The 24,281-nt window shown below is 44.5% G+C and overlaps 1 protein-coding gene across 6 annotated transcripts in view, besides 1 other annotated feature; it reads left to right on the top strand.

Moving 5' to 3' along the window:
• Nucleotides 1–24,281, top strand: part of GALNT18 (polypeptide N-acetylgalactosaminyltransferase 18) — a 351,129-nt gene that overhangs the window by 111,392 nt on the left and 215,456 nt on the right. The window lies entirely within an intron of this gene.
• Nucleotides 778–1,279: an enhancer, noted in NCBI's record as "NANOG hESC enhancer chr11:11530882-11531383 (GRCh37/hg19 assembly coordinates)". NCBI's record gives its function as "activates a minimal SCP1, AML or CMV promoter by ChIP-STARR-seq in naive H9 embryonic stem cells {active_cell/tissue: H9 hESC(naive)}" and the evidence as "EXISTENCE:reporter gene assay evidence [ECO:0000049][PMID:30033119]".

Genomic DNA, 24,281 nt, shown 5'->3' with positions numbered 1-24,281 from the left:
GGAAATGCATCTCTGGAAGGCAGCTATGCTCACCACTATACCACCAATGCAGGGAATGCATCTCTAAAGGCATGAGTGCCTTGCATATAGTTTGTGTTCTAAGGGACTTTCTGCATGCCCAGTGCCTGGTACAAGGCCTGGAAATGAGCTGTACTCATGGAAGGTTTGCAGAAGTGACCTGAATAGAGGTTGGAACATGGTGAGGCCTTATCACAGAGACGACCCAGGGTAGGGAGCTTTACCTGGTTTCATATTTAATGCTTCTGACCTGCCCTTCTCACAGGGCCCCTGGGAGAGTATACTGAGACAGCAGATGTTAAAATAGTTTGTGTACTTTAGTGCCAGGCAAAATATGGGCTCCCATTAAAGGTGGTTTTCCTATTGTGAGGCTTTCCACACCCTTCATGTCACATTGCCTTGTGTGAATCTTGGGTGCTTCAGATCCATCAGCGTGGTCTCTGTGACTTGGTGGTAATGCTCCTTTTGGGCTGCAGCTGAGTCTTCCCTTGTGTTGAGTTTTCCATGCTGTGGCCAGCATCTGCATGTAGTTGGTACTCACTGGGCCATAGTGAAGTGTCTGGAGTGTTCTGATGCTGTAACCAGGGACCTTGGGTGCTCTGCTGGAAGGTCCTGCCCTCAGAAGGCTTCTCAGAGGATGTGACCACCGATGCTGTGTCTTATACAAATACTCTTTCTGCGTGGTGCTGGGAGTGACCCCAGATATAGCCAAAGAAGGGAGATTGCTCTCCAATTGTCACCATGAACAGGATCTTTCAGTTTCCCACAGAGGATGGAGTAGCGCATGTGTTAATCACAGGGCAGTGAAGGTCTTGAATTCAGATATGCCAGCATGTGGCCAAAGGCCTGTGGCCAGTCCTCTGCTCTCTGCCAGTGGCTAGGCACAAAGGGCTGAGGCCTCTATTTATTTCTGATGAGATGTGCTGAGGGAGAAATGACTGGAGGCATGGAGAGGGGGGAAAGTCATTCCGTCTTCAAAGGAGCACAAACAATTGATGTGACTCCAAGCTTTCTCTCCATTGTTCAGTAACTACTTATTGAGCAGTTACCATGCATAGCACATGATGCTAGGCCTGGGGCTAGGGGAGAAATAACACCAATTCTGTTCTTAGAGTTTTCACCCAAGGCTAGATTAAGATGTATTGGGTCCTAAGAATCACAGTGCTCCCTTCCCCTCTTTCCTGAATGTAATGCAAAATAAAAATATATTAAATTATGAATATATAAAAACAATTCCAGCAGTTCTAATTGTTCCCATGATAACTACTTAAATGTTTAAAAAATCTTTCTTTGGATATCAAATTGTTTCAAAAATATTTTGGTATTAGAACTTCACTGATGTTCTGAAAACAAGCTCAGTGTGCCATTTAGATACCAAGGGCCCTAATTGTCACAGATTAAGAGAAGTCAGAAAAGGAGGAAGCTTTTTTTTTTCTTTTCTTTAGCAAACACTTGTGAAAGATGAGAATCAGGGCATTCAAGACAGAGGATTCAGAATGGGCAAGGGAAAAGCATGGGGGTGTAGAAGAAGAAGAGAAAAGTTCAGTTTGGTCCGAGAGGTAGGGAAGTCATGGGAGAGGGGTGGGAGCTGGGGCCAGATCTGGTTGAGCCTGAGTGCCAGATAAGGAGTTTGGGTTGTATCGGGTAGTTCTTGGGAGCCATCAAAGATTTCTGAGCCTCTCTTTGTTATTGTAAACCAATTTCCACATTCAGGATATTCAAAACCACCCTTGCATAGCATTTAAGAGTATCTACAGTGATGGAGTGAAGCTGGAGTAATTGAGTATTGGTAATTGCTTTCACTGTGCTTTGGTGGAATGCATTTTAGAAATGGAGTTCTATCCTGTAAGTGCATCTATAGGAAAAAAGTGCCAAAGGCTTCATTATCATTAACCAGTGCCAAATGGGATTTGCAGAGAGAGTGAAGTGAATGAAGACCATGCCTCTGTCTTCTGATTACTGCTTGAATCTGTAAGGGAGGGATTACAATAATTGCAGCGACTAAAAAACAACAACAATTTGGGGAAGCAGATATTCACATGGCCTTGGAGTAACACCCACACATTACTTATTAATTACAAACGAATGAAGTACTTTTACGATGGAGAAATATGGCAGATGCCACCTTAATCAAGTGACCACACTTAGAATTACCAATAATGGGGCAAACTGACATTATGTGGCTTTTGATGGAGTGCAGTGGGATGAGCACAACATCACTTATGTAGTATTTGCCAAACATCTTTGACCTGAATCTAATAAAGAGATATTAATCAGACACATTCACATTATAAGATCTCCTACCTCAAATAGCGTATCCTCTAAAAATGTCAATGATTTAAAAAACAAAAAAGGGTATATGTGTGTAGAGGGAATGTTCCAGACCAAAGGAGACCAAAAAGATATATAACAAGCAAATGCAATGCTTGAGCTCAGATTGGATTATGAATCAGAAAATGAACAAAGAGCTATAAAGGACATGATTGGATAATTGGGAAAGTTTAAACATGGAATGTATATTAGATAATAGGTCTATCAATGTTAAATTTCTTGGGTATCATATGGTATTATGGTAATATACAATAATGCCGTCATACCTCAAAAGTAGAGAAGCTAACAGTGCAGCCTTCAGTCTGTGGTCGAAGGTAGAACTTGGAGTCCAATGTTCAAGGGCAGGAAGCATCCAGCATGGGAGAAAGATGTAGGCTGGGAGACTAAGCCAGTGTAGTCTTTCCAGGTTCTTCTGCTGCTTTTATTCTGACCACACTGGCAGCTGATTAGATGGGGCCCACCCGGATTGAGGGTGGGTCTACCTTTCCCAGTCCACTGACTCAAATGTTAATCTCCTTTGGCAATGCCCTCACAGACACAGCCAGGATCAGCACTTTGCATCCTTCAATCTAATCAAGTTGACATGAAATATTAACCATCACAGAGGTGGAGCAGGATACTCCTATAGAAAGGGAATATATATGTTTTATAAGGTTTGTAGAAATATTTCACACTTTAATCTTTGTGCATATAAAGCTTGGATCTATGTAAGAACTAAAAAGTTAGGGAAGGGGAAGAAGAAAAGAAAGAGGAAGGGGAGAAGGAAAAGGAAGAGATTAAAGCAGAGGAAGAGTAGGAGGAAAAGAAAGAGGTGGGAGAGGAGGAAGAAGAGAAGGAGGAGGAAAAATAAAAAGGAAAATGCACTGGGGCTTGTGTTTGGGAGACTGACTCAGTTCAGAATTTTCCTCTGAGACTCAGCTTCCATGTTTCTAAGATAGGGAAAATCATATCTCCATTGGTGGGTTTTTATGATAATTAAATATTCCTGATATAAAGTAAGTCTTCAGTCAATATTTGTTTCAATGATTTCTCCTTTTGTTTAGAATGAATGAGAGACTTAAAAAGTGGAAATTCTAACAATAGAAAAATTCATTTATTAATTCACTCCTTATTCACTTAACAGTAGTGTCCAAGTGATGATCCTGAATAACAGTGCCAAGGAAGCCAACCAACTCACAGATCACTTTCACCTCTGTTTGTTTGCCCACATTTTCAGGTTCCCAGTGTACAAGGAATGTGTTCTGCCAGAGAGTAACTTTCTTGCAGGTGCTCTTTCTATTGGGAGCGACCCTGAAGGGTTTTGTCCTGTACTTTTTCTTGTCTGGGGCATCTACTGTGGAAGATGAAGAAGTGAAAATGTGGTTTGGGAAGGGACATAGGATTATCTGAGAGAGGACAGGCTGGCCATTTTCCATGGCCAACTCTCTACCCTCCTCAGCAGCTGCACATTTTCCAGGATACCAGGGCTGTACCTTCCTTGGGTCTTTGGAGTTATTTTCTTGCCCATTGACTGGAAGTTTTGTCCCCTCAGTATCTGGAAGCAGCATAGTCTTCAGAGTTATTTCACATGCCTTCACTTTTCTAATAACACAGTTCTTTCTCATAGTCCTTTTAAAATTAACCTAAGACAAATACCCCACTTTCTACCAGAAAATAGCAATGACGGGAATCAATAGTTCTGGTTGATGCATGGCCAGCACTACTCCAGGAAGCCTGAGCCTGGGATGAGCACTGTCTTCAGTGCAAGCACTCTGGGAAGTCGCCCTGCACACGAAACGCTTGAACCACCAGTTGCTTTTCCTTGTCCCCCTCATAGCTATTTGGGGGAAGTATAGTCATCTGGACAGGGTCTAGATGGTGTATTTGACATCCTTGCCTGACTATCCTGGGTCTGAAGTCATCCCACTTTAGGAAAAAAGAAGCCACCTGTGAAGTGAACACATATTAAATATTTTGTAGTGGTTTCTCTTTTGCAAAATACATGAATAGCTTAGACCTAGCAAAACCATGTGGGGTTTTATGGTGTGTATGCATGTATTGGTTGTACATTTTTTATATTCACTTGCCAGAGGAGCTGTATGCTGGAGTTCTGGGGACATAGATTGTTTGAAATCGATAAATAAATTCTTAATTTTATTTTCACTGGTAGCTTCACCCTCTTGCTTGGCTGTGCCTTTCATCACTGAGGCTCCCGAGGACTAAAGCAGCCAGATGGTTCTGGGCATTACAAGTTGCTGCAGGGTGACTGCAGGAAACCTCAATAATACATAATTTTGTCCCTGAAAGCTGAGCTGAGCTTTAAATGCTTGCTAACCTGTACTGATAAGGAAGGCCATAGGGGAGGATGACTTCCTTTCAGAGGAGTGAGGATGGATGGCTGGCTTCTCTGACTCGGAGATTAGATCAGTAAGGCCTGGGCTAGAGGATTTACTGTGGAAAGGGTCCAGATGTGAAACAGTGGGAAGAAAGCATAGACAGAACTTGAAGGCATGCAAATGAAGGAGAGAGAGCAGGTACACTGGATTCAGGGAGGAAGCAGCAAGAGTTTGCAGGAGGAAGCGAGTGTGGTATTAAATCAGAATGGGGACTTCTGAATCTGGTGAGGAGGAAGGCAATGGAAATCTTAGTGAGAATGCTTTCATTGGGATGTCGGAGACTGAATCCAGATGATGTGGCATTGATGGGGGAGGAGGTGGTAAGGCAATGGAAGCTGTAATATGCAACCCAGGATGATGCCAGCTCCTATTACTTTGTGGTGATGGCCTAGAGCTCTTTGCTGAGCAGGTTGTTTCTGGGTGACACTGGAGAGAGTGCTGTGATTGATTACTTGGATCTGCTGTGGGCATAGGAGTCAGTGCTGGTATGCATGCCATCTGCCTGCCATCCTTCATAGAGATTCAAGAATCTGGTAACTCACACTGTTATCTTAGTGTGGTCTGTCCTTTCCTGTCTTCTTGTTTTTACTTAAGGTTGATATTCATAATATCTCACAACCAATCCATGACTAATCATAGCAGACACTGGCTATAAACAACCAGTTGCCTGGAGTGTGTGTACTACAAAATATCATGCCATTTACTCTGCCTGGAACATCCTTTCCCTGTGTTCATCTACTGAACTCCACTCATTCTTCAAGCCCTCTTCAAATGTCATCCCCTCAAGGTGGCATTTTCTTTAAACTTTGCTCCTTTTCCTATGTTCCCATGGCACTTTGTACATATCTGGGTTCTAGCGCTTCCAACACTTTGATGTTGCAGTTGTGTGTTTATGTGCTTGTAGCTTCCTTTAGCTGGGAAGCTACTTGTGAGCAGCAAGGGTGCCTCCCCAGATGAGGCAGTCAATAAATGGAAAAAGGACAGGGATCTTAGGAACTTGGTTCATCTCTGAGTCATCCAAGGCAAACAGAATGCCCAGCACATAATTGGCACTCAGTAAATTGCCCCTCTTGCCTAGCAAGTATAGGCTCTCATTAAATGTTCCATAACCCAATATATATATATATATTTTGAGATGGGGTCTTGCTCTGTCACCCAGGCCAAAGTGCAGTGGCATGATCATGGTTCACCGCAACCTCCACCTTCCAGGCTCAGGTGATCCTCCTACCTCAGCCTCCTGAGTAGCTGGGACTACAGGTGCATACCACCATGCCTGGCTAATTTTTTGTATTTTTTATAGAAATGGGGTTTTGCCATGTTGCCCTGGCTGGTCTGGAACTCCTGAGCTCAAGCAATCCACCTGCCTCAGCCTCCCAAAGTGCAGGGATTACACACATGAGCCATCACGCCCGGTGATGACCTGATTTATTTGTGATCAAGTTTTTTTTTTCTTTTCAATAAGAAAAATATGAATATGTTTGAGGGCAGAATAAAATGCTTGTTACTCACTAGAACTTCAGGGAGTCAGGAGTGTGCCCAGGGCTATTCAGTCCAGAGGGACAGAATTACCTGGAAAAGAGGACTTTGCTCTGCAATTCCTTCTCAGATCTTGTACACTGTGCTCTCTGCCCTGCAGCTGTTGGCTCTGATCCTGCCTTTGCTGGGGTGTATGGAGGGATCCTGCCATCATTCATTTACTTAGCACATACTTACTGAGCACTTACTATGTGCAGGCTCTGTGGCACATGCCCTGGCCCTCAGGAGCTCAACAGAAAAGAAAACTGTGTAAAGGCAGAACTTCATGATATAGAAGGAAACCTATTCAGTGTTTGCTTTTATATGCTCAGGCCAAGAGAGAGAAGAACCCAGTACAAATCATTTTTTTAAAAGATAATGTCAAAATGGTAAAACAGACTAAATGAACCTTTGCTGTTAGAATTCAGTATCATGGTTACCCTTGGTTGAGTAGTGGTGGAAGGGAGAACAAGGGGTTTCTGCACTGCTGGCAATGATTTGACCAGGGAGATTGCTGTATGGGGGTGCTAAACTTGAGAAAATTCATCGGATTGTACACATGTATTTGGTGCACTTTTCTGTATGTACATTTACGTCAACAAAAAGGGGAAAAAAGATGATGCCTGAATATACAGTTGGAACGGTCACAGAAGGTGGCGAAGCTTTCTCATAATCCGCAGGGAATACTGTGGCACTGTAGTAGTTTTGACTCAAAATTAGGAAATCTTTTCTTACTGTCAAACTCACACTCAAGTGAACTCAGCTTCTTGGGAGCTTACTTTATTAGCGGCTGAACACATAGTGCCTAGCGCAGGGCCTGGCCTGAGCAGGCACCATGGAGTCTTTGTGAAATGATGGGATGGATGAACACCTGCAGGCTGTAGCATCCCTGCAAGGATTCAGGTACAGGTAAAACTGGAAATTGCAGTGGAGGTGGGCACCTGATTAGACTGTCTTTGATAATAATCAGAGCAATAGCTATTCTCTGTCAAGCAACAACAGTGAGCCAGGCCCTTCAGATCGTCATTTCTAGGCTTCATAGCAGCCCACATTAACCCTGAGGAAACAGGCTCAGAGAAGTGAAATAATGTATCCAAGACCACTCAGCTAATAAGTGTGGGAAAGCTGGCTCTGGGAATTAGGCTTCTCTGACTCCAAAATCTCACTGTTCCTCCTAAAGCATATTACCTCCGATGCCTTCACTATCTGGTCCCCACTCACGATTCTTTGTACTAAAATCCGTCTACTTCCTCAGGGGTGGCTTTTGAGAAGAGGAATCTATTTTTCTCCGTCCTAAGGGTAGAGATCTGACTGTCAGTGTGTGTATGAGTGGGGCAGGAAGCCCTCTTCTTCCATGAGATGCTTGCCTGGTGTACATATTACAAACATTTTGACGGGAACTGCAATCTGGGCCAATGTGTCTGTATGGGGCAGACCAATATCCCAAGAAAATGAGTGACTGTGCTTCCTTTTCAACTATTTTGTGTCTTGGGCTGGAAAGTGCCCTTCATTCGGAGAGCGTTAAGGACTGGAGCTGGGAAGGAATTCAGCCGTGAATTTATCTGAGGATACGCTACGCCTCTCATGACTGGCAAGTTGTTACAAATGTCACAACTTATCTGCAGCTGGAAGGATAATTTAGCAAAGTCTGCGGCTGCCAAATGAGGATGTTTGCATTTCATACAGGCATGCTGTTCATGTGCTAACAGAAGCGATCAGAGGAAGAGGCCTCAATCAAACAAATGATTAACCTTAAAAACAGACACATAAACAGACCCACAATGGATGAATTATGCAGCAGACCATCTCTGCTGCTGACACTGGCCCACATCTGGTTTCTCCACTCAGGCTGTTCCTGTAAATGACTTTCCTTCTCTGTTTGCTTCCTGGCTCTCTCTACCTGTTTTCCTTTGCGCAGAAGCCAACAGAGTATGGCGAAGGCCTCTTGTCTGTGTTTCTGAGCAGTCCTTCCCCAGAGGGAACCAGGGCCTCTCAAAGGCCACACATGCTCCTGCCTGCCTGCTCAGCCTAGGCATACCCCAGACAAATACAAGAGGCAGTCTTAGGAGCCACGTCAGATGGTACACAGAAGGGAAGGAGAGGCAGGTACTGTTGGTTTAAGCTTGTTTGCAAGGGGCCCCAGGAGCGCATAAATTCTGCAAGCCTCACTTCGCCTTAGAGATACATCTTATTCATGCCGTCTGAGCCTCGCTTTATGAGGTGCTGAGCTGAGCTCAGAGGTGGGCACTTTATCCTCAAACGAGCTCTACACTCAGCACTGTGGGTGTGTTCTTGCAGACTTCCTGCTTTGGGCCAGACAGGCATTTGGCAACATTGAAGGCTGGCTCTTGGCTTCTTCCAACTGAGAGCCTCGTCCTCAGAGGCCTCCACAGATCTTCTTGCAAGGCAGTGGGCAAAGGAGCAAGCAACGTAGAAGCAAGATCTCAGGCCTCTCTGAAGCTGCATTTGCTGCAAGAGGGAAGTGTCTTCCTGTGCTGTGTCAGCTAAGAGGGCAGAACCTTCCCAGGCGAGGCAGTCAATAAATGGAAAAAGGACAGGCATCTTCGCAACTTGGAGTCTGGCACCCAGAAGCACAAAGCCAAGCCTCATTCCTTCTACCTCCCAGGAATTTGAAAATTATGATGGCTGATATGAGTAATAGAGGCCAACATTTGTTCCAGGTCTTCTGGTTGTCAAGGCACTTTCCCTTGCATTTTCTCACAAACTCAGGCAAGGTAGAAACAGGCCTTACTGAATTTAGGAATGAGAACCAAGTAGCTTTACTTGGGCCATCTCTAGGGAAGACACATTATTACATAATATAGGCAAATTGTGTCTTGGAATAGTTTGCTCACGAAAGAGTAGGATTTTAAAAATACTGTGCTTCAGAAACTCAATGAATCACCTCTGATGCCTTAATAAACAGAGAGTGAATAATGGAATAATATTAACTTTGACCACTTTATCAGCTATTTTCACCATTTAAAATGAGGCTAGTCAGATCCAAGATTCTGTGAGATTTAAACATTTCCTTCCCTCTGTCACTTATTCATTCCCATCGATGTCTTGGTTAAATAGTTACAGAGTTTCAAAAGTAATAACACTGAATTTTTTTTTCTAACACAAACCACGAGGGTGCTGTGCACACCAAAGCATGAAACCAATGTTTGTTGAATAATTGAGTGAATTACTGAATAAATGAATTCTGACTTTTACCTTCTGAATATGGGATTGCTGTCAAGTCTGGGGAAAATGGCACACTTAAACAGTTCAATAGGAGGGTCATTTTTTATCTCTGTGAGTGGAAACGAGAGGGCGTCTCAGAGGTGCTGCCCAGGCTTGGCTGTCTCTCTGCAGTCAGCCTCCTTGGAGTTGCTGTTCTGCCCAGTTTCCAGTCTGCGACAGGTGTTGCCCCAAGGCCCCTGTGCTAGTCAGCTAGCAAATCGGCCTGAGGTGCATCCCTGCTGTGCACCTGGCTGCCCGCTCAGCACGGCTCTGCAAAAAGACAGGGAAGGAAAGGAACTCCCAGGTTTGGGGAGAGCCTGGTGCTGTGCCCGGCCTTTTTACCTTCTTTATTTGTACAGAAAATACATGAAAAGGAGATCCTTGACTCCTTACCTGAGGCAATTCACTATCCATAAAGAGAAGTAAGGAGAGGAGGGGTTGTGGGTGCTAAAACGTGCTGAGGCTGACTCTGTGCTGTGCATGGGAAGGGCTTCTCTAGCTCGGCACTGTCACCATTTTGCACTGGATCCTTCTTTGTCATGGGAGGTGTCCTGTATCCTGCAGGATGATGACCGGTGCTTGCCAGCATCCCTGCTGCCTTCTACTGAGAGATGCCCATGGCGCATCTCCATCCACCCACCACGATGTGACAACCAAAAACATCTCCAGACATGGCTGCTGATCTGGGTATTGGCCTGAACTCATTTAAGCCTCCACAATCCTGTGAGGTAGGTGTTACCATCACCACTTTCCATGTGAGGAAATGAAGCCTCAGAAAGGTTCAGACATGTACCTAAAGCCACTCAAGAAAGAAGTGAAGAAATTGGGATTTGAAACCCATCTCTGTCCGCCAGTATTAGGGACTCCCGGGAGGCCAGCCTCCTGCAGGTTCTTGGCAGTGAACGCTACCTGTCTGGATCTATACTTTTCTAGAACCCTGTGCTGTGACTTTCTCCCTATAGGCTCCTATTTCCTTATCACTTGCTTTGAGATCCTATTTGAGGTTGCTAATTAAGTCTTTTCGTAGAAGGAAATGGGATGAGAATATTAAATGTGGGAAGATGCCATGTTTCAACAATGCTTGGCCTCTCTTTTTGATTTTGCTCCCTTTCTCTTGATCTTTTTTCTTTCTCTGTGTCTCTAGGACTGCATCTTTCTCTTTGATAATTGGAACCAGTAAGTCCTTTGAATTTAAGGGTCATTGGTAGTTAAGTTCTATGGTCATTGGTAGGGTTTTGTCTATCTGAAGCTGCCACCAGAATTTTGCTGATACCTGGTGTTGGAGACCCTCTTCCCATCCACATTACCCATCACCTGTGAGCCACCCCAACCCCAACAATTTCCTGTGCTGTGTCAGTACTAAATTGGGTCAGCAGAGGTCTGAATCTTTCTTGAGTCACCAGGAAGAGGTATAGCTAGGGCACCATGTAGAGCACAGGGTAAACAGAGGCCAGGCCATGCTGTGGGTTGTACTTCTTGGAGGGCAAGGCAGAGGCCTGGGGTTCCTGGAGGTCAGGGCTGGAACAGGGCAGAAGCACAGGTGGGCAGATAGAGGGGACGGGGACACAGATAGCAGATGGCAGAGCAAGAAGGAAGTCCACAGTCCAGGAAGGGAAGTGAGACAGGGCAATACAGGCACAGGCTCTAGAGGGCAAATGCTGATGCAGCTACATCTGTCCCAGGTCTGGGAGTCTTGAGCCCACAGGTGGGGGAGGGAGGTAACAGGCTGCAGTCAGGGGTGGGAGGGCAGTGGGGAAGGCCAGAACAGATGAGGAAAGACTTTATTTCTAATCAACTCACAAAGTAGAGGACATGACAGTGAAAGAAAGGAGGATTTGGTCAGCGCTGATGGCTCATTGACTTGATGTCCTGCCAGCTGATGGAAATACTGACTACATTTGGTGGCTTTTAGACCAGAGGAGGGAATACAGTATTGGGATAGAGAACTGGTCTTAAATGTTGACCGTCATAAGTGAACACAGTCATACAGTTCTAAGGCTGGCTGATCATATAATAAAGCTGATTATCAGTTTGCTGAGTGACCACGAGGACTCGAGGTAACATATGTAAGTTGCTGGCATAAAGCAGAGGCTCTAGAGATAGTAACTGTCAGCAGTTTGTATCCTTTGACTCAGCCAAGAGCACAATTTGCTCTGTTTTTGTGAAATATTATTTATGGACATTGTCAAAATTTGAAAGACATAGGAAAGTGTTAAGAATATAACAATCTTCCAGGGAAAACATTTTGGCATATTTCCATTTAATCTTCTCTGACTGTAACTACAATTACATTGCTACCATCATAGAATCTCTCTTAACCCACTTCCCTTCTTTTATTTATTTATTTTTTTGAGATGGAGTCTCACTCTGTTGCCCAGGCTGGAGTGCAGTGGCATGATCTTGGCTCATTGCAACCTCTGCCTCCCGGGTTCAAGCAATTCTCCTGTCTCAGCCTCCCCAGTAGCTGGGACTACAGGTGCACAGCACCATGCCCGGCTGATTTTTTGTATTTTAGTAGAGATGAGGTTTCACCGTGTTGCCCAGGCTGGTTGCGAACTCCTGAGCTCAGGCAATCTGCCCACCTTGGCCTCCCAAAGTGTTGGGATTACAGGCATTAGCCACCATGCCTGGCCAACCCACTTCTTAACCAAGTCACAAATTCATGAGTTTTCTCGACTCTTCTACAGAAGCCACTGACTGAAGTCCACAGCCTGCTGGGCATTCATAGCTGGCATGGAACCCATAGTATTTCTTTGAGTGCCCCCATTTCCTCTGCACTTGGGTGAATGCTTACCAAGGGTCACAGAGCTGGGTTTCTTCCCAGTCCTTCCTGTGCTTGCTGAGCTTGTTATTGTACTAACATAATCTAATTAAATATTGAGTGACCCAGTAAAATATGAGCGAAAAGAGAATTGCTTCTTAGAAAAAATCAAGTTGCATGCATTGAACGACTTGATAAAAGTCAATTACTAGCAATGATGGCTGTCAAATTAGTTGTAGGCAGGGCAGCTGATAAAGATTAGAAGACATATGTACATAATCCTAGAAGAATTTTGCCCTCAATTGGTTTCACATATGAGTTTAAATTCCTTCTCCATTTTTTAAGACGAGTTCTCCAGTTTTTTAGTTCATTTTAAGCCAAATTTGGAAATCATAGATGATATAAAAAGTCATGAATTATAATTTTATTTTTTATTTTTTTTACCAGCTGAACAAGGCCTGAAAAATGAATTATAATTTTTAAAAAGGGAAAACAAAGATGTAGAACTCCAATCTGGAGACACAGCTCAAATAGAAGCCTTGGCCTTACACCAAAATATTAGCATGAAATATTTTAAGTTGAAATAGTGTTTATGGTTTGTGTGTATGTGTGTGTGTGTGTATATATATATATATATAGAAAATATGTATATGCACATACACATTTATCTGCACAATTTCAGTGATTCCTGCTTTAAACTTTTTGCTTACCCTATTAGCTGCTCCTGACCATGTTAGATAAGAGAGTTGTTACTGGAAATACTGTGTGTTTGGTGCTTATTTGGTGCCATGCCTCCACAAAATTCTTTATAGATAATAATCTCATTTCATTCATACGAGAACCTTTTGGAGTATTCTTTCATTCAGCACAAATTTATTAATCAGCTATTTTGTGCCTAACACTGTTCCAGGTTCTGGAGGTGCAGGTGAACAGGCCCTGCATAAGAGCAGGGACCCATAAAGTCTTGCTCCATAAGACCCATAAAGTCCCTGCTCTTAAGGAGCCCCATTCTAAGGGGTGTGTGTGTGTGTGTGTGTGTGTGTGTGTGTGTGTGTGTGTGTTGGAGACAGGAGGTAAAACATAAATAATAAGTAGGATAATTTTAAGTAATGGTATATGCTATGAGGAAAACAGGACACAAGGCTTTGGTAGAGGGACTGACAAGGGTCAGTTGAGGGTGCTGATGTTGGCTGGTTGGGGAAGGTTGTCCTGTGGCAAGCAATGATTGAGCTGAGACTTGCATGACAAGAAGGGTCTGGCCCTGGGTCACAGCATCCCATACTGAAGAAACAGCAGGTGCAAAGGCCCTGAGGTGGGAATGAGCCTGGAAGCAGGAAGGCCCATGTGGCTCTAGCAGAGTGAGCAAGAGAAGGATGGGATGAGCAGGACCGATGAGGCCCTTGGAGACCACGGTGGAGTATTTGGGTGCTCTACCAGGTGAGAAGGGAGGCAGTTGCTGCATTTTAAGTGAGGTGTGATGTGATCTGATTTGTGTTTCTAGAAGTTCACTCTGGTTACTGTGGTTGATGGGTGGCAGGGGGTGAGGGAACTGGCGTAGAAGTGGTTGATTAGGTGGGAGGCCATTGGAGAGACCCAGAAATGGAGGGGGTTCAGACCACTGCAGTGGGGATAGCAGAAGCAGCCAGGTGGGTGGATTCAGAGTAGTGGGGGATCCTCACAAGGAAACCGAGGCTCAGTGTTTCCCATCAGCTTGCCCTGCAGGTCCTGCCCTTCCTTCCTGGTGCAGTCTTTCCTTCTTCCCACCCTCTGTGTGGTAGCCCTTCATCTACTTCTCTGTGATGTTGATTAGAACCTACTGAGAGATAGCAAGCTGCTTGTTCTTTAGAAAAGTAGAATTGATGAAGAGGAAATCTTTTCCTAAGAACCATCTTCTGTTTTATTTTTCCAGCATGCCCCATTATTGGAGTTGATAGCAATGTACTGCTGGGTAAGTTTGGGCTAAACTTGAGGGGCTGCTAGTTGGGTTCAACTGAGTCAGGCAAGAGCTGACCCTCCTTCCCTGTAATTGGACCCAGTTTGCAGTATGGCAGCATGTGGAGTGTTGCTGATGCTAGGGTTTTTGGTGATAGGTGAACCACAGAAGAGGGGCCTGTCATTTTTCAGGCAGAGGGTTGCAATCAAATGAAGTCAGCAGATCATCAAAACTCTATTGCTATATTCTAAACCAGCCCTTTAAGTTAGTGGAGAAGTGTTTGCAAGAGACGCTTTCTCCATATTTGTTCATTCATTCATTCATTCATTCAACAAACACACAAGAAGCTCCTGGCTCTTATTCTTTGCTGTGTGTCCTTAGACAAGTTACTTGTTCTTCCTGAGCCTCAGTTGCTTTAGTCATGTAACAGGGATGCTGATAGCACATATGTTTTAGGATTAGGATTATGAAGTTATAATGAAAGAATGGATGTAATACTCTTTGCAAAGGGTCTGGTGCATCATCAAGTTGGGAGTCTTAGAGAAGGTGGCAGAGGACTGCCTTGAGAGGAGGACCTGCCCATCTCTTGGTCACAGCCTTTTATGGTGCTACCCTTTCTGCTCTGGCATGTTTCTAGCAGAAGTTCCCAGTACCAGGGGACTTCTGAGAGCCTCTGCTACCGCTTCTATAATGAGGATTGCCCCAACTCAGGATTCACAAGGGCTTTCTGGCTTGTTCCTGGTGGGTCTTCAAGTTTTCTATGTAATTTTTGCTTTGGTGCTTTTGGGCACTGGTCTTCTCTTTCTGGGTGTTACTGCTTGCTCTCTGATGTTTTTAAAGTCTGCTTGAATGGAGGCTGCCACACGTGACTTTCTGTCATAACTACTTCATCTTAGATTCCACTTATGGCTCTTTGCTCCTAATGAGCAAATGAATATGGCTGCTTAAGAGTGGAGCTCATTTGGTTTCCTCTGGAGGACCAACAACCCTGTTTTTGCAGGTTCCTTGAACCCCTGATTTGATGGGTCTTGATATGTCCTACAAGTCATCCCTTTCTAAATGTTCAATTCATTTTGGGGGAAGTTTGCGTACCCAACCCCCTCTTGGAGATTCACATTCATTATTAGCGTAGTGAAGGCTCTGAGAAGTACCTTCGGAAAGAAACATGTTTAGCTTTGTTTAACCTAACATTCCTGTATACACCATGCAAAAATGCTGCTCTTCATCTTACTTTGTTGAGTGGACTGTAGGAAACAAAGTTGGAAACCTACGGTTCGAAACCCCGAGTCCAGGCCCTGAGCTCAGAACTTCAAATTGCTGACAAAATGCTGGCCTGATTTCAAATACTTTTTGATTCACATCTCATGGGCTGGATTGGATTTTTTATTTAAGATGTAATTTCGGATTTTTTTTTTTTTTGAGACACTCCTCAACCTTCCCCTTCCCTAGGCAAAACCAGGATGCTCTTGAAGATTCATGCTGGGCTTCTACATTTATATGCTCAAATCACAGAGCATGTGATTGGCTTATAACTCCATGTTATTGCATTTTCCTTTGGTGGAATTTGGCATCTGATTTGCAACACTCCCAGATGATCATGGTTGGAGTTGTAAGATTAAAATACTTCCCCTCCAATGAGAACATTAGTCTTACACCAGCTTTGAATAATAGCACGATGGGCCGGATTCATCTCTCTGATTTGGCTATAGTGGAAATGCCCCAGGATGAGGAGTGTGTGTACTGACAGAATAGAAGAGGAACTGCTGTCAAATCCACCCCAATCCTCTGCACTTAAAAGCAAAAAAGGCTGAGGCTGTGTAGAAATTCATGTGTGGCAGATAGCGGTGGAAAGAAGGGGAGCTGCAGTGAATTGTGAGGCATGACTCTGCCTTCAGCTCACCCACAAGGGGTCTTTCATATGGCTGAGTCATGTCTAGGTGGCAGTCAGTGCTGTGGAAGAGATGGCGAGTTTGAGCTGAGCTTTGCAGGACACTAAGATGGTGTGAAACCTCTTGGATGTGGCAGTCCTGGGCATGGCCCCTTGAAGTAGGTTGTCATTCTCAGACAAGATGGCCACTGGCAAATATAGACTGGGGAAGCAGGCTCTCAGGGTCACATGGGATCCTAGACAGGAAGCACTGGGGAAAGGACCCAGTTTTTAGGCTCTAGTGTCTGGCTTGTTTATGCTGCTGCTTGGCAGTGCTTGTTTTCTGCTGGAGACTTGAATTCATCCTCCTGTGTTTAGCTCCTACTCCTGGGACTGTATTCCTTTCATCTTATCTTATTCCTGATGTTGATAATAATTCTAATATCTAACATTTATTAAGATTTCCTATATGCAAGGTACTGTGCTAAGTTCTTTATATGCATGGCTTCACTAAATCCTTGCAGCAGCACTCTGAGCTACTTTTACAATCCCATTTTATAGATGAGAAAACAGAGGCACCGATGGCTTAGGTAATGTGTGCTCCTCGGATCTGAACCTAGGCAGTCTGATTCTAGAGCCAGGTTCTGGACCATTATGCCATGGTCTCTGTGACAGCTCCCCATGGCTGTGGTCTCTGCTGCCACACGCTGGGACAGGAGCGGGTTGGTGAAGGAAAGGGGGAAAATTCCTATGATCAAAGGGACAACTGGCTCAAGCCACAAACAGACAAAAGCACAGGGATGGAAATAAATCTCCGTTCTGAAGTTCCAGAGCAGAAACACGACTTTCCAATTTCTTGGGCCTTAGCAGGGCCTCCTACTTATCTAGTCACCAACTGGGAGGCTCAGTGGTGGGTGTACCTCATGGCTTTTTTTCCAAAAAATCTTGAGACGTAGATAACATCATTTCTATTTTGTAATCAACAATCACTTACTGAGCATCACTGTGTGCTGGAGACTTACTACACACTCACAATGTTATCCGTAATTCTCTTAACAATTCCTCAATATTGGCTAATATTATTACCACTCACAGATGGGAAAACTGAGCCTTCTAGAGATCAAGGAACGTATCAGGCTTATGTAGGAAGGTTGAGCTGGTCACGAAACCAGGAGGTTTTCATGAATGGGAGATGTTGTTTCTTGAGTAGTCTCTGGCTTTAGGCTGTGAAGAGAAGCTGCCCAAAAAGATCCACCCAATAGAGGAAAAGCTGCCCTACTGAGGTCCAAGAAATTTTTTTTTTTTTTTTTTTTTTTTTTTTGAGATGAAGGATGGAGTCTCACTCTGTCGCCCAGGCTGGAGTGCAGTGGCGCGATCTTGGCTCACTTCAACCTCCGCCTCCCAGGTTGAAGCGATTCTCCTGCCTCAGCCTTCCGAGTAGCTGGGACTACAGGCACCCACCACCATGCCTGGCTAATTTTTGTATTTTTAGTAAAGACAGGGTTTCACCATACTGGCCAGGTTGATCTTGAACTCCTGACCTTGTGATCTGCCTGCCTCGGCCTCCCAAAGTGCTGGGATTACAGGTGTGAGCCACTGCACCCGGCCCAAGAAATTTTAAAGTCATGGCCTTTCTGCTCTGGAACTTCAGAATGCAGATCCATTTCTTTTATTTATTTATTTACTTTAAGTTCTGGGATACATGTGCAGAACGTGGTTTGTTACATAGGTATACATGTGCCTTGGTGGTTTTCTGGAGCTATCAACCCCTCATCTAGGTTTTAGGCCCCAGATACGTTAGGTATTTGTCCTAATACTCTCCCTCCCCTTGCCCCCCACCCCCCGAAAGGCCCCGGTATGTGATGTCCCCTCTCTGTGTCCATGTGTTCTCATTGTTCAACTCCCACCTGTGAGTGAGAACATGCGGTGTTTGGTTTCCTGTTCCTGTTTTAGTTTGCTGACAATGATGGTTTCCAGCTTCATCCATGTCCCTGCAAAGGACATGAACTCATTCTTTTTTATGGCTGCACAATATTCCATGGCATATATGTACCACATTTTCTTTATCCAGTCTATCATTGATGGACATTTGGATTGGTTCCAAGTCTTTGCTATTGTAAATAGTGCAGAATGCAGATCTATTTCTAACCCTGTGCTTTTCTCTGTTGTGGCTTGAGCCAGTTCTTCCCTGTGTTAGCAGCATTCTCAGCTTCTATGGCAGTGTTATTGTTGGTTTCTAAACAGGCAGCTGCCAGGTACCAGAGATGTTCCTTGTGAGGCCACAATGAGTAGAAAAGTGACCCAGAGGGCAGCACCTGGTGTCTCCTCATTTCTGTATGCCTATTGCCTGGCACTAAGCTGGCAGCACAGCAGTACGAGTAACTGTTGGATGAAATGGTGGCCTTTGCCTGATACCAGGATGCCTGGGTGACTTAAACACGAGGATACAATTTGGAGTGATTTCCCCTGCCCCGAAGAAAGTTTTTTTTCCTTTTTTCTTTCTGTTTTCATTTACTCATTAATTCTGATTGGGCCAATAAAACAGCATCCCACATTCTTCATTTTAGAATTTAAAAATCAAAATTTGAGTCAATGCTAAATGAATCATAGGTACTCTTCCTTTCTATGAGAGATGAGCTTTTCATTACTGATTTTGTCCATCTGAATCTCCTGTAATGGGTAGGCTTTCTTTGTTCCTTGGGCTCTGCTTGGCTGTGGATGCCAAGTGAGATTGTCTTGCTTCTGGAGGGGAGTGACTGGCTCAGAGGTCCCCGTCCGCACCTCTGTGGTGTGGTGTAGACTGTGCCAGCCAACTTGGCCTGGTCCATCCAATCTGCTGCCCCAGCACTTCGCTGCTGGCCTTCCCAGGGTACAGATTCCAGGGTGAAAGGGTGAAGTGAAATTGTGTTGAATGATTAAATGAATATGCATCAGAAAAATGCCTGGCAAGTGCTTTGAAGCATAGGGATTATCAACGGACTCTGTGCATAGCCATATGAAAACCAAATCCATAGGGAGGTTTTAGATCTGCTTTAGGAAATGCAGAGAAATGGCTCAGCAGGAAGAGCCCCTGCAGCCAGGAGTTTGCTCCTTTGAGCAAATCAATCGGCTTTTTAAAACCCAGGCTTTAATTGGTTATGCCCTGGGAGATGGTTTTTGATACATGCCCCATCTGGCAGGACTAATTGTTCTTTGCTTTCAGTGACTAGATTGGTGCTCTGAACCCGGGAAGAAAGTCTGGAAGGTGTTCATGCCTGTCAATGTCACTGCTCATGGCTCTTGGATGATAGTATATCTTTTTTGACACCTGTTTCTTGCAAATGATTCATAGGACATGTCTTATAAGTGAGCAGCTGCCACAGAGCTCCTGGAATGGCAGAGAGTTGAGGTGCCCTTGCATGTCCAGGGCATGTGATGAAGAGCCACCTCATGTTGCTTGTCTGGCTTCTGACTCCCTAGTGACAACGACCCCACCTGGACCAGGGAGAGAAGTGATTTGGACTAGAGATGACCACCTCTCTCTGGACACTTGCTAGACCTAGATCTGGCCTCTGTGGCTGTCTCACTCTGCTTCAGTGCACACCCTGCCTCTGTCACCTTGCCACCCACACCTCCACTATCTTCCAGAGCCCACCTTTGGGTACTGGACTTTCAGGTCTGGGAGTGTGGCTATGCCAGAATAATAGTGCATTTAGGTTGCATTATCCAGTTCTAGATGTGCCAGACAAACCTCTGACAATCCGCGTTGGAGTTTCATTAGGGAGACCCAGGCCCAGCCCTGCATGATTTGGAGAGAACACAAGTCAAATGCAGCACAGGGCTTCTTGGTTACATCTGCCAGGACAGACCTTCTGAGCACACCTTCTGGACCTTCTGGGCTGTCTCTGACGCACAAGTCAGAGATGGTTCCATGGAAGACTTGCATTTCCTTGTAACTCTGGTCACACCATTGGCCATTTGAAAACAATAGTACCTGTCCCTATAGGCCCCTGGACTGGGCTGAGTGCTCTATCACTGAGCCTCCATTCATTTCTTATGTGTTTAATATTTATCATATTTGGCATGTATTATATACTGTTATTATACATGTGAGACACTGCATACACATTACATAGATATCTTATTTAATTCCTAACAGCCTTAGGAGGTAAGGCATTTTCTTAGTCTATTTTGTGCACTGTAACAGAATACTTGACACTGGAGAATTTATAATGCACAGAGATTTATTGGCTCATAGTTCTGAAGGCTGGGAAGTCCAAGATGGAGGGGCCAACATCTGGTAAGGGCCTTTTTGCTGTATTATCCCATGGTGGAAGGAGTGTGTGTGTGTGTGTGTGTGTGTGTGTGTGTGTGTTAGAGAGAGAGAGAGAGAGAGAGAGAGAGAGAGAATGAGTGAAGGAGAAGAGGCCAAACTTGCCCTTTTATAAGAAACCCACTCCCATGATAATGGACCTGCTCCTGCAACAATGAAACTTCTCCCATGATAAAGGCATTAATGCATTCATGAAGTGAATGACCCCAGGATGCAAACACCTATCATTAGGCACCATGTTCCAACACTGTCACATTGGAGATGAAGTTTCCAACGCAGGCTTTTTGGGGGACACATTCAAACCATGGCAGCCATGTTGTGAGGCAGTATAGAGTAGTGGTCAGACCCCTGAGGCTAGAGCCAGACTCTAAGTGTTTAAATCCCAGCTCTGACCACCGTTGGCTCTGTGACCTTCAGCAGATTGTTTAATATAAACTTTCTGTGTCTCAGTTTCCTATTTGTAAAACAGGATAACATTAATACCTACCTTATTGGGTTGCTACAAGGAATAAGAGTTAACACATATGCTCGTTGACCAGGACCTTGCACTTGGTAAACACCTACATAAATGTTTGCTATTATTAATATCATCATCATCTGATAGATGGGAAGTCTAAGCACAGAGAAATTAAGAACATTCCTAAGGTCACAGGTGTTTTCATGGCAGAGCTGGCATTAAAACCAGGCCCAACTCCCAAGCTCTGCCTGCCAAACTGGGTGGAACTGATTCTATCTTCTCTCTAGGGAGCGACCTGCCAAGGAGATTCCATCTTCATGTGGACTGGCATGGACAGTGGTGGGCACAGGTGGGCATTTTCCTCCTTGTGAAAGGCCCTTGCCTCACTGCTCCTGCTCACACTATTATCTCAGGGAGGTTCAGCTCAGATGCATAGGTTTCAATGTAATGTGTACTAGTCCTCTCCTAGCACCGTATCCTTGAGACCTGCCCAAGTCAAAGGATGGAACTTCAGGGATCCCACATCTCTCAGCTATCAGTTTGCTAACAGCAAGCTATTTCCACCCATGTGTGAGTGCCTGCTCATTTCACTGTCATAATAATGCTCCCCCATTCATACTCCTGTGGGGATGGAATAAGATAAACTCCATAAAGCTTTTCATTCAGGTCTGGGCATGTAGGAAGTACTCAAAAAATGTTAGCTACTGATGGTATTATTATTACCAAGTCACTTTCTTTCCATGTTTGGGGCACACTTCACTGTGCCTGGATCATACTCCACAGCAGTGGGCTCTAATGTTGCTCCTTAATTTCTATGGCTGACTAAGCCCTTCTTTTTATTCTTCATTCCATCACTAAAGGCCACGTGGGTCAAGGGCAAGGTCATGTTTGGGCCTTGGGGTCTACAGTAGAGCTTTCCTTGTGAAGAACAAAGAGGTTAAAGCTCTTGGCTTTTCAGGTGGGCCATCTTTGGACCTTACTCATCCTTCTGGTAAGCATGGCCTTTTAGGAATCCATGTGGTGAGTTGGGTCCATAGTTATCACCCACTTGGAAGTGGCCCTCTCACTCTTACAGGGCCCAGGAGAAAAGAAGCTTGGATCAGATAGACCAGACTGGCTCCCCCATGTACTTTGCTGCCAAGGGCCAGGAGTTCACACAAGGATTTGGAACCAAATACAGAAATTTCCAACAGTTAAAGAGCACTTATGTGCCAAGTATTGTTCACTTGACTCTCCAAACAACCCTATGTGGCAGGAAGGATGATGGCCCCCAAAGAGGTCCACATCCTAATCTCCATAATCTGAATACAGTTTATTCCATGGCAAGAGGGAATTTGGTTTGCTAATCAGCTGACCTTGAGTTGGGAAGGTTATCCTGGATCGTCCACAAGAGTCTTAACAAGCAAAAGAGGCAGGCTGGAGAGTCACAGTGATTCAATGCGAGAAGGATTCGATCCACCTGGGCTGACTGTGAAGACAGACGAAGAGGACCCCGAGTCAAGGAATGCGGGAAGCTTATAGAAGCTGAAAAAGGAAAGAAAATGGATTCTCCGCGAGAGCCTGCAGGAGGAGTACAGCCCTGCTGACCCTTTGATTTTAGCCCAGTGAAACCCATTGCAGATTTTTAACCTGAGAACTGAAAAATAATAAATTTGTGTCATTTACATCACTAAGTTTGTAGTAATTTGTTACCACAACAATAGGAAAGTAATATACTCTATAAAATAGGCACAGCTATTATCCCCTGAAGTTTAGGGAGAATAAATAGCTTGCACAATGTCATAGATAGTAAGGCTTGGACCTAGGACCCATACCCAGCTGTTCATTTATGGAGCTTGGGCTTATAACCACCTTTGTCCTGCTCCCTCACTCAAGCCATTATTTTCATCACCTTATTCACTGTGCACTTTTCCTGCAGGAATTTGCACTAGGGGCAGGCAGTGTTCAAGAAGTCAGGATTCAGCTCTTGGTTGTCTCTGTCTTTCCATCAGAAAAGTGAGCTCAGGTGCAGTAGAAAGGAGGACAGAGTCCCAGCTTGCAGGAGGTGCTGTGTGGACTGGCTAGCTCTGGTCATACCTGGAGCTCTTGCATGGCACTGCCTCAGATATTGTGGATGGAGTTTCTGAGCAATGCTTGGGGCTGCCACTGTTCTTATTAGAAGCCAACGTATGGAAACCTTCAAGCTCAGCTGCTGAGGAAAACCTGTGCAGGGACTCGAATGAGAGGAGAGAAAAATAATTTTGATTTATAAAACAGCTGAAAGGATGCACAGATGAATGAGTATTTTCAGTGGGTCTCAAAACTTACATATTCACTGGATATATTTTATTTGTACTAGCATTTCCTAATACTAAATAATGTGGATGCAATATAAAACTATTTTTTATTTTATTTTTTACATTTTTTATTTCCATAGTTTTTTGGGGAACAGGTGGTATTTGGTTACATGAGTAAGTTCTTTAATAGTGATTTGCGAGGTTTTGGTGCACCCATTACCCAAGCAGGATATACTGAACCCAATTTGTAGTCTTTCATCCTTCACCCCTTCCTACCCTTTCTCCCTGAGCCCCCAAAGTCCACTGTGTCATTCTTATGCCTTGATGCAACATAAAATGATTTTTATAATAATATCATGAAGACAACCTTTCACAGAAAAAGGGAAGTGGAATGGTTAAATAAAGGGGGAGGGGAGATGAGTGGGGAAGATTCAGAGCATTAATTGAGTAGCTTATGGATGCAAAGGAAAGAAGGCTGAAGAAGAATGAGCAAAGGCCCAGAGTTTGGGGGCATATTTACTTATTGGAGGATGATGGGTGGTCATTCCTGGAGAGGACTGTGGTGGCTGGGGAAACCACAGTGAGGGGCCTTGGCCATCATACCAGGTCAAGTGGTGAGGGAGATGGCAGGAACATTTATTCCTTCCCTCACATACACAGCTCTTATCCATCTCCCTTTACATTTGGGCTTTGGCTGCTTTTAGCACATGGGGGTCTTGGCTGTGCTGGGGGAGGAGCCGTCAGCTTGGACAAAGCCATCCCGGGACTGGTCTTTTTCACTAAGATTTACCTTGGCTTTGAGGGTCCTGGTAGCAGAGCACAGCTCAGCTGCCTGAAGCCAAACCCCATGCTAGAAGTCAGAGAAAAGGCAGGGACTGCCGTTGGCTGTCAGACATATCTTCATGGAGGGAGTGGAGATTTATTGAGTGTTAAATGTCAGTATGGATGTAATAAAGATAGTACACTGTAAGTAATCAGCACTTTCCAGGTGAGGAACCATTTTTAATAAGTTGTCAACCTGTCTAGTACTATGAATTATTTTTTAAGTAGAAGAAGATGAAGAAAACCCATTTGGAGTGATTTAACTTTCAGATCTACTCCTCATCTCTGCCCCTTCTTGACAGGGGTGCAAGTGTCCTGGGGTGCCCAAAGACCTTGGGGCTTACACACCCTTCATTTCACAGAAACCCAATATTCCTTTTGTTTTATTT

This window comes from Homo sapiens, chromosome 11, assembly GCF_000001405.40.
Source record: "Homo sapiens chromosome 11, GRCh38.p14 Primary Assembly".
Classification (NCBI taxonomy): Eukaryota; Metazoa; Chordata; class Mammalia; order Primates; family Hominidae; genus Homo; species Homo sapiens.
This window is presented reverse-complemented; position numbering and strand designations above follow the sequence as displayed.